The 11,194-nt window shown below is 44.7% G+C and overlaps 1 protein-coding gene across 2 annotated transcripts; it reads right to left on the minus strand.

Moving 5' to 3' along the window:
- Positions 1–722: 722 nt before the first annotated feature.
- GPR12 (G protein-coupled receptor 12) lies at positions 723–6,309 on the minus strand. 2 transcript variants are annotated; one of them, XM_005266360.3, is made up of 2 exons: positions 6,102–6,309; positions 723–4,961 (listed from the first exon to the last, which is right to left on the minus strand). In XM_005266360.3, exon 2 carries the CDS (start codon positions 4,871–4,873, stop codon positions 4,346–4,348), a length of 528 nt encoding a protein of 175 aa, XP_005266417.1. In that variant the 5' UTR covers positions 4,874–4,961; positions 6,102–6,309; the 3' UTR covers positions 723–4,345. The 2 variants fall into 2 exon arrangements, with proteins under 2 accessions (XP_005266417.1, NP_005279.1); NM_005288.4 differs by having other exon boundaries at positions 723–5,365.
- Between the last annotated feature and the right edge of the window lie 4,885 nt (positions 6,310–11,194).

Genomic DNA, 11,194 nt, shown 5'->3' on the forward strand with positions numbered 1-11,194 from the left:
ATTATAGGTACATGTTATACATATTCAGATATATATTTTTATATGTTATATTTATATGTTATATATATGTATTTATACGTTATATTAAAAGTGTGACACGTATCATTGTGAATCAGTGTTGTCTGTAGACCATCAGCATCAGCATCACGGGAGCTTGTTGGAAATTCAGCCATGCCCCAGACTGACTGAAGCAGAATTTGCATTTTAACAAGATTCTCAGGTGATTTGTATACTCTTCAAATAGTTAAAGTTTGAGGAGCTCTAGCCAAAATTACCAATATTTTTTTCTGTAATTTTTTTTTTTTTTTTTTGAGATGGAGTCTTGCTCTGTCCCCCAGGCTGGAGTGCAGTGGCACAATCTCGGCTCACTGCAAGCTCCGCCTCCCAGGTTCACGCCATTCTCCTGCCTCACCCTCCTGAGTAGCTGGGACTACAGGCCCCCGCCACCACACCCGGCTAATTTTTTGTATTTTTAGTAGAGACGGGGTTTCACCATGTTAGCCAGGATGGTCTTGATCTCCTGACCTCGTGATCTGCCCACCTCGGCCTCCCAAAATGCTGGGATTACAGGCATGAGCCACTGCGCCCGGCCTGTAATTTTTTTAGAAGACAGATTTGTCTGTGAATTCAAGCCGTGATGTATAAACCTATTAGTTTGTGATTCTTAGAATTCTAAACAGAAGTCCTAACCATATATCGAAACATTCAATAATTATGACAAATTTTAAAGGGGACAATAAGGCAGTCTTTTCCTTTATTATACCAGGCATACAATCAATATAGAAACTTAAACATTATTCAAAATCACAACATAGTAGTCACTTAATTAATATGTATTTTAAATCTGAAATGGCAAGTCATCCTAACTTCATATTATCACATATTACTATAAAATAAAGTCAATCATTATTTTAATAATGGATTAAGCATTTTTTTTAAAAAGCCGAAGAAGTCTCCATGATATTTTTATTGGCACTAAGTATCTCTATTCCTCCTCTGCTCTTTTAAACTTCTTGTTTCAATCCTATTTTAAATCCTGGGGGAGTCTAAGACTATTTCTGCATGGCCAAGTCAACCAAGGAATCCACTCCTCCTGAACCTGGCTCCTTACTGTAGGCTCCAGGCAAGGAGGGGCTCTATCTCCACCCTGCTTCCCTGCCCCAGGTACCTTTAAAAACAAACTTCACTGATAGAAAGAAATACAGAGTTAAAGGAATAAAAGGAAACAAAACCCTAGATAGTCATAACTTCGATGACTAGTTTTGACTAATTCAGGATTCTGGTAAAGTAATGGAACTGTCCTAGTTACAAGGATAACTGTTTCTACTGGAAAAATATCAATTCCTTGGTAGCTAGAAATTTTAATTATGTGGAGTAAAAGATTATCTGCTACCTCAGGACTGTTGGAAATAAGACAGTTTTCCATGAGGTCTTTGGTCCTGTTGCAAAGTTAATATTATTGGGTATACGTATGCATAAATACATACATACACATATGTACATTGAGATGTGTGCACATTTAAAAATAATTAGCTCCACAGGAAAAAAGAAACCTTGTAGAAAACCACATAAATATCCAACATTTTTCACAATTTAAACGGTAAAGGCATGTTGTTAGTTGAACTGAAAAATCTCTTAGCTGAAACTATATGTTTTAAAAACATGGGCCAAAAGCAACCACGTAACTAGTGTAACTTTAAACAGGAAATTTTATGTCCTTTTTTTTTTGAGATGGAGTCTTGCTCTGTCACCCAGGCTGGAGTGCAGTGGTGCGATCTTTGTTCACTGCTACCTCTGCCTCCTGTCTTCAAGCAGTTCTCCTGCCTCAGCCTCCTGAGTAGCTGGGATTACAGGCACCCGCCACCACGCCCGGCTAAATTTTATTTTTAGTAGAGACAGGGTTTTGCCATATTGGTCAGGCTGGTTTCGAACTCCTGACCTCAGGTGATCCACCTGCCTTGGCCCCCCAAAGTGCTGGGATTACAGGCGTGAGCCACTGCGCCAGGCCAAGTTTTATGTCTTAAATGTAGAGCCAAAACTCTGTGACAGGAACGTGTTACAAATCAGTTTCCTCAGCCCTGGTATCCACTGAGGGATGAAAGCTTGCAAGGTACAGGGAAGGAGCAAGACTTAGACTTTGGAAAAGCTGGCTTCAAATTCTGACTCTATCCTTGTGCTTTGTGGCCTCGGGCACATTTTTTATCCTCGCCTCTCTTAGTCTTAGTTTTCTCACCTATAAAAGTAGTAGTTTTGTGATTATAGTAAAACACGCAGCATGGGGCCTGGCACACATGTGGTCACAACAAGTACATATTATTCTCTTTATAATTCTGACTATTGGAGATATGCAAATGGAGCCACTATTTTTATAAAATCATCATTTATTCCTTTAAAACCTCATTACGGATATTTCCTAGCCCCTCTCAAAACCAACTTACCTTTGTCAAGTCTCCTATGGTGGTGCTATTCAATTTTAATTAATTAAAAACGAACAGACTCATCATGTTCAACCTACTAACTCCATCAAATGTTCAAAAGAAATGTTTTAAAGGCATCAGTTTTATTAGATTGATCATACAGTGGTATGTATTGAAAATTCTTTCCCACTTCTTAAGTATTTCAGTCCCTCTCCTGCTTCCATAAGTAACCTCAGGGAGGAGACACAGATTCAAGTAGAGGATTTTTTCACACGTGTGCTACATTAGAAGATGCTCTGGAGAGAAGGCATCAGCATGCAGGCTCCCAGAATGGTCTTGAGAGCACCCTGGGCATCACATCTGGGACAAACCGATGAGGTTAATTTATTACAAATGATTCCCCAATGACCCTGAAATACTGCTTTTGCTGCCATCTGAATGGGCTCAATTAATGTGCTGCCAAGAATTTTTTCCACTGATTATATAGACATAACTATAAATCCATTGCAAATGGAGGGAAGGTACCTGCGTCTACATTTGTCTGCATGAACAGAAAAGAAACCTGAGACACATCGATTTTACAATGTGTTTAAAGTGAATTCTTCTTTGCAATTTCCTGACTACATTCTTGTTCTCTGAAAACAGGCAATGTGATTTTTATTGTGTATAAATTGGTTTTTGGTGAAAAGGAGTTAAAAGATTTCAAACTTAACTTTTCATCAACAGCCAATGGTCATTCTGTTTATGACCTTACAGGATATAGCTGGTATATGTCACAGTCATAGATGGACGCTGTGCACTGACAAACAAACCTAATCATTAAAATAGGGGACTGCCTGTTTCAAATGCATTATGCACCACAGACAGTATGAACCAGAAAAACTTGGCCTATAATATTTATTCTAATTATCTCAATCAAGAATAACCATTAGTATATTCTCAGAGAGAGAGGAAAGGTGATTTTTTTCATTTCATGATAATGTCACATTAGTTTTTTTCAGAATATATTAAAATAAATTTAATCTACTCTCAATTGCTAATATTTTTTCCTTTTGTTTTCTGAAAACAATCAGACAATAGCTTAAGAAACTACAATGGTGGATCTAATCAATCCTACTTCATATGAAGATCAAAACCTACTTCAGGATTCATTTTAGAAAGTACATATTGGAAAACTATATTGAAAAATGACCCGTTGGAATCTAGATTGACATGGCAACATTTGAAACAAGTGGTCTAGCTAACACAGTCGACCATGCAGAAGGAGTTGCAACATTTATAGAAATACCGAAGGAATTCTCGTGAACAGTAATTGCCGAAAGGAAAGAAAGAATGGATAAGAATGGGTTCACGGTTTCAGTGTCGGTGACATTACTGAGTTCATGTTAGCAAAATCAGGTCCCTTCCAAACACAATTATGTAAACTATTTGTATTGGATTGAAAGGGGTCATATTCTGTTACATACATGCAGCATTAAAAAATCTACCATCATGTAAAAAAAAAAAATAGTCTGGAAAAAGTAAGTCTTTCTCAATTTTCCTCAATCACTCAAATTTATTTTAAAGTCCAGGTAAAAACTCTGAAACTCATTTACTTCTAATAACATCATGGGCGTATCATATCCCTTCCTTTCCTACCCCCAGTCAGCCCTCCAAACAAAGTATAAAAGGAAACCCTTGCCCCCAAGCAAAACAAAATAATGTTGAGTGGAGAGCTCAACAATTTTTTTTAATGGTGAAAACACTGGTAACATTATTTTCACTTCAATCACTTAACTCATCTGAACGATGTCATTGTTTCACGAATGCTAAGTGCTCCTGTGGCTTGAGAGGGAATCCAATGCAAGGAATTCAAGGGAAGCATCTCAAACCTTGGCCAGGCAGTGGAAGTGCTTGGTAAATGCAGAGTCCTCCTGGGTGCAAGGGTGCTACACATCACTGGGCGAGCGCGCTCTCTGGGCGAGACTGGACGGGATGCAGCCGCAGCAAATGAGACAGAGCGCTTTCTGGATCTCTTGGTTTCTGAAAGCATATATGACAGGGTTGATGATGGAATTGTAGGTGGCGGGCAGGAGGGTGGCGTAGGTATAGATGGAGGGGTAGGTGTAATCCGCTATCAAGGAATAGAGGGTGAAAGGCATCCAGCAAGCAGCAAACGTCCCCAGGATGATAGCCAGGGTGGAGACCCCTTTCCGGGTGGTCACATAGTGCGACGTGGCCAGGAAGTGGTGCTGCAGGGCTATCTGATGGGCGTGCCTCATCACAATCTTACAGATCTGGATGTAGAGCTGAAGCATGAGCGCAAACATGAAGAGGAAGGACACCGAGAGGATGGCCGCGTTGTTCTTGGTGAGCGGTCTGACCACGCTGCAGGTGGACTCGTCTCGGAGGCAGTTCCAGCCCATGACGGGCAGCAGCCCCAGGCAGATGGAGGTCCCCCAGAGCATGACGAGCATGACATAGGTAAACGTGACCGTCCTCTCCGAATGGTACGTCAGAGCGTAGTACAGTGAGAGGTAGCGGTCAACAGTGATAGCCAGCAAGCTGCAGACAGAGGCAGAGAAAGAGGCGACAATGAGGCCGATCGTGACCAGCTTGGTGGCTTCTGACTGAAGCAGGTAGGCAAAAACAAAATTGGTGATGAGTCCAATGCCGGCCAGCAGGTCTGCAAGAGCCAGGCTGCCTATTAGCAGGAACATGGGTGCTCGCAGGCTGGGGTTGTGGAAGATGATAAGGACCACAATGGCATTTTCACAGGAGATGAGGGTTCCCGAGGTACACAAGACAATGTCCCAGGGGTTGACTACGAGCTCAGGCTCTGGCTCTACGGCAGGAACCCGGGAGGAGACAGCAGCCGAGATGTTCTCCGCAGCAGCGGCATCTAAATAATCCCGAGGCAGCCCGCTTAAATTGACCTTCAGGTCTTCATTCATTTTAACCCCTGTCCTCTTCAACGAAAAGACAGGCTTTTTAATGTTTAAATACAGCAGGGTGACAATCCAAGATCATGCAAAAAACACACAGACAAACAGAAAGCCAGCCCCTGCTCAGATACCAGTACCAAATGCCACAAGCTTCGGGAATGAGGAACTGTTGGGAAATGAAACAAAAGCCAAAGTCTCTGTGGTTTAAACCCCACAACAAAAATGCCGTTTGGCATTGGGGAAAACACAGGGTAGGACTTCAAAACACCAGCGTGAGCGAGGCAGGCACACACGGACTCGCGGCGGTCTGTTTGCAACAGCGCTGGGAATGCACATTGGAAAATCACATCTTGCATGCTGAAAACGAACAACTGTTTGACATCTGGGCTGCTGCCGAGAAAACCACGCGGCAGCGGCAGGTCTCGAGCCAGGGGCCGCCATCCTCGATGGAATATTTAAATCGCCTATTTCCATCGAACTCCCACCCTCCAAACGCATCCCCCGCGCGCGTGCACATCCTCAAACGCACCCCCGACCGGAACAAAGAGGGGCTCCAGACTCCCCCCGTGCGCACGGGGCAGTCGGGAGGGCCACGAGAGGGAGGTGTGTGCAATGGAAGTACCGAGACAGACAGACAGACAGATGCCCATGCACTGCTGCCGATTCCCTGGCGGCGGGGACGGGAGTCGGACGCGAGGGGGACAGACAGGGTGCGGGGACAGGCGGCCCGCGGGGGCGGGGGGGTCATCGAGGGGGTCACCTTGGCTCGCCCAGGCCGAGGGGGCTCCTCCGGTGCTTCCGAAGCGCGTGGGCTACTCGTGTCGCATGTCGGCGCAGTTGCCCGCTGTGGCAAGGGGGGGGCGGCCGGGCTCCGGAGCGGGCCGGGAGGGCGCGGGGCGCGCACTCCGCGGCAGGTGAGCGGCGCGGCTGCAGGTGAGCAGCAGCCTCGGCTCGCGCGCCCAGCTTTCCCCGCCGCGCCCGCCCGGCCCACACGCTCCCCGCGCGCGCGCCGCCCCCGCCCCGCGCGCGCCCGGCCGCCCGCCCGCCCGCGGGATCCCCGCGAGGCCGCGCGCCCCCACGGGTCAGGGCTGCTCTAGGGTGCGGGCAGGCGAGGGCGGCCCAGGGGCGCGGGGCGAGGGGCGAAGGAGCCAGGAGGCTGAGAACTGCATGGTAGCCCTGCCTGCCTGCCGCGCTGCGCGCCCCACCCCAGCCGGCGGCCCCGGGCTTGCACCGGGCGGGGCAGGGGAGCGCTGCCTGGAGCCCTGTGACCTATTTCGTTCCTGTGGTTTCCCTGGGGAGCTCCAAGTCTCTACAGTCCTGGCTTTTCCACGCCTTTACCTAAACCACTACATTCAGGGCCAAAAGAATTGCTTAGGATGATATTCACGATCAGCAGCAGGGATGCGGGGTGGACAGGTTAGGGAAGCAGATCTTTAAAACAACAAAATGCCCCGCACGCTCTTTTAGAATTGCCCATGGTCCTGGACCTGGTTCATTATCACTGTTCCCCAGGAACATTTGCTTGACTGGATAGATGCTGCTGCTCTGTGGATCATCATTATCATCACCAAATTGCACTTATTAAGCGCTCTTTGAGCTGTGTTTTCAAATGGAAATCATTTACTGAGTTCTTGTAGAAGCTTCCTGCAGACATTGGCCAAACCCCAATTCATTTAGATACTGAAGTGGCACTATTAATTTATTTTTTCATTTTGCCACATCAATGGATTCTAAGATGAAGAACCTGATAGCTGTCTGCTTTTATGATCCCATGCCTCCTCTGGATATAAAAACCAGAGCACCTCATAGATCTTAAGTTCCAAGATGATCCTCCAGTTTAAAGATGGGATAAGGAAAAAGTGTGATAGTCTTGTCTTGCCCTGTCAGAGGTGAAGGTTTTCCCACTGCTTTTCTTCCACTTGCCCAGGGGCTCTTGTATGAATGGAGATGGTCTGCAGGCAAGGGACCCTACAGGGGCATCATCAGCTGACCAGCCTGCCTTCCCCTGGTGCTCACGTCTTCTCTACCCCAGCCCAACAGATTCGGAGCCTCAATCACCCTTGACTTTCTTCCCGCTTCTCCTTCCCTTCTTCCATCAATCAGTTTCTGGCTCTGCAAGGTCACTCCAGCTCTCCCTGCATGCCACTTCTCATCATCCTCAGCTCCCTGGTTGAGGCCCTCATCCCCTCTCACCTGCATTTCTGGTACCCACCTGCCTCTCCCTTTCCCAACCTCCTCGATTTGGCACATCTATTCCATGATGTCCAAGACCTCCTGCTACCTCCAGAATAGTCTGAACTTTTTACCTTGACAGATTCTGCTCAGTAGTTCTTGGGGTGGGCCTACCTTCTGCATTTGCAAGCCTCTTCCCCAGTGATGCTGCTGCTGCTGCTGGTTGACAGATCACACTTTGAGAAGCAAGGTTCTATGGAGTTTTCAGAGTGGCTTGTTCATGGTGGGGAGGCATCAGACTCGTGTGTGTCCCAAGAACCGGGCTAAGGGCTGGGCATAGAAATTCAGTAAGACACGGTCTCCAGTCTGGTAGTGACACACACACAAATCAACAATAATGCCAGGCAGCAAATGCTGTCATGAAGGGATGTAATCTTCTTCTCAATTCTACATGATGCATCAAAGAATTTTAGAATGAAGCGATGAAAAATGAACAGTCACTTAACAAACATGTAGTAGTTTTGGCATAATATAGCTCAACCTACATGGCAAAATTTTGGGCACCTCACATTGGCATTGCAGTTTAGGGAAAGCGAATGCATAGGGCTAGCCAGACACTATTCTAGCCAATAACACTGACATGGTTTATGGCCCTGACTTCACGGAGCTTAAAGGGGTGGGACTTTTTAATTCAGTCGTTAATGTGTTTGAGAATTTTTTTTAAAAAAGAGCTGAGTGTTGGAGGAGAGAAAAAAGTATTGAGGTGAATGGCAGAGGTATACAGATTTTTGTAAAAAAAATTTGTAAAACCTGGGAGGAGTCAAAGGAGGAAACTGAGGCAAGTTACACCTGGGGCTTGGATACCGTCACTGGGGAGAGCCCAGGAGTTAGCTGCTAACACTGATGTGGACACTCAGCTCCCCTGTTGGTAACAGCAACTGTGTTCACAGTTCTGTCCCCACTCCCCCCGGAATGATTACTTGTAACTTCCCTGTACTCCGGATTCTATGTTCATTGGTTTATTTGTTAGGACTTTTGTTGCCAGGGAGCAGAAATCCAATTCAAACTAGTTTAAGAAAAAAAGGCGTTTTGTTGTCTGGCATGACTAGGAAAGATCTGGAGTGGTTCACATAAAAGAAGGAGAAGCTACAGGAAACAGGTGGCTGGCAGTCAGCCCTGCCCTGATTTATTTCTGCTTGTCTTTGCTTCTCTGTGTCTGTGTGCCTCAAACTTCTCTACCCCAGACAAGTTTCTTCCAGGCAGTCATGGAAAGTGGCCTCAGGCAGCCCTGGGCTTGCATTCTAAGACTGTATTCTTAACTTGTGAGTGGAATTCCCATGGAGAACTCTGCCCCAGCCTGGGCTGCGCCCCCTGCTCACAACCAACAATGGCAGCTAAAGGGAAAGAGTGGATCAGTTGGCCAGGCCTGGATCTCATGTGGTGTCTTGTGATGGGCATCCCTCTGAACTTCACCAAATGGGCATTTCTGAGAGGAACAGTGAGTTGGGACACCAGGCACACCAACTCCAGGTCTGGAGGTCGGGATTCACCACAGCTTGGAACTGGGTGAGCCAATGGGGACGTTTTGCACAGCCTCAGTAACGAGGGCCATAGAGTAGCTGTCTGCAAAGCTGTCTTCTCGATGTATTCACCGCCCATGACAGGACACTGCCGCAGATGCCCTCAGAAGTGTGACATTTATTGCCTTTTCATCACTTACCTTTTTTGTCACTTTTTAAAATAACTTCAGCAAGAAGTTGTAAACCTTCAAGCATGATCTGGCATTTTCACAACCTATAGTAACGATGACTGTTTTATGTGAGAAAGGCTCGGTGCCTGTCTTAATCACACATGGCATCTTTGCCAACTTAAACCCTGAGGGCACATTTATTAGCCCCTTCTTGTAACTGTATTTGTAAATCATGAGACTGTCACAGATTACTGGCTGGAGCAAGTCATAAACTGAGCCAGTACTGCACAGCACATGGTGTCTGTATTGAAATTTTACCAGTCAGCTTCTTTCTTGCTTATGTTAATGATTATTACCCAGTTTCCATAGATCTGATTAATTGGTGCAGTAATCTGAACCATAGATTGACCATGCTTTAGTCTGTCCAGCCAAGGGTCTATAACACACCTAAGAATACACTATAATCCCAAATTAAAGTTTGATTTTATTGATCTCTTCATCTGACAGTAAATTTTATAACTGTATAACCTACATATAGACAAGTGCATATTTCACAAGTATACAGTACCATGAAGATATATCAGATAGATATATCTATGTACCCACTATCCATCTTGAGAAATAGAACATTACCAGTACCCCAAAGCCTTCCTCTTGCCCACTCCCAATAATTATCCTCTGAAAAGAAACCACTATTCTGAATTCTAATATAACAGATTAGGTTTGTCTGTTTTTGAACTCTATATGAATGGAATCATACAGTATGTACACTTTCATGTCTGGCTTCTTTCACTCAACATTATGTTAATGAGACATATTCATTTGGTGCAAGGAGCAGTAGTTTAATCTTTTTCATTGCTGTATGGAATTCTATCGTAGGACTATTGTGTTAGTTCGTTCAGGCTGCTATAACAAAATACATCAGACTGGGTGATTTGTAAGCCAAAGAAATTTACTGCTCACAGTTCTGGAGACTGGGAAGTTCAAGATTATGGTGCCAGCAGATTCAGTGTCTGGTGAGGGCTCATTCCTTACAGATGGCACCTTCTTCCTGTGTCCTTACTGGCAGAAGGAGCAAACAAGCTCCTACGGGCACTCATCCTATTCAAGAGGGCAGAGCTCTCAAGACCTAATCACCTCCCCAAACCCCGGTTCTCAATGCTACTACACTGGGGATTAAGTTTCAACATAGAAATTTTGGGGGTAAACATTCAGACCACAACAAATATGCTGCCATTTTTCCATCTATTTCTTATCGATCCACATTGGGTTGTTTTCTGGTTTTGGCTATTGTGACTAAAACCATGACAAACTTTCTTGTACATGCCATGTGATAAACGCTGGCTCAAAAGCACATTTTAATAATTAGTTCTCCATTAAAATAATACCATGTTGCTATTTAAGGAGAGGGAGGAGACTATGAAAAATCACAACACATCCCTCCTTCCCCTTTTAAAATTCACTCTAAACTTCCATTTTAACAGAGGGCAAAGGTAGTTCATGGAAATATCAAAGAAAGAAAGAAAGACGGGAGGGACATACTACACAAAGATAATATTTAGTCTGCGGTTCTGTGTGCGAAAAGAGAGCTCCGTTGTCAACACTAACATTACTTCATTTCTACATATATTCTGGTGTTTTTTTTTTTAAGAAATATCTTTTTTCTGACTATAAACTAATAATACTTATTGCAGAAAATTTGGAGCCTACAAGTAAAATTAAAGTGTAATATGTCATGTACTCTTACAGAGAAAGCTGCTGTAAACTTTTTGTTAATATATATTTTAATAAATTTAGTTGGGATTTTTTTTGAGAGGAGGAGGCAGAGTAATGAGGTGTTACTTTCTGAAATGTTTTATTCACACAAGCGCATGGAGCAATAGTTTTTCATTTTCTTTGGATTTTGAGCTACCCGTCAGTCTGCTGTCTGTGCTTTATGGTGTGGACAGCAGACAGGGACCATTCTGCTCCCTCTCTGCTCCCTCTCTCTT

This window comes from Homo sapiens, chromosome 13 (assembly GCF_000001405.40).
Source record: "Homo sapiens chromosome 13, GRCh38.p14 Primary Assembly".
In the NCBI taxonomy this organism is placed as follows: Eukaryota; Metazoa; Chordata; class Mammalia; order Primates; family Hominidae; genus Homo; species Homo sapiens.

Coding starts and splice junctions, on each gene's coding strand:
- GPR12 (NM_005288.4), bottom strand. CDS start 5,350: ATGAATGAAGACCTGAAGGTCAATTTAAGCGGGCTGCCTCGGGATTAT.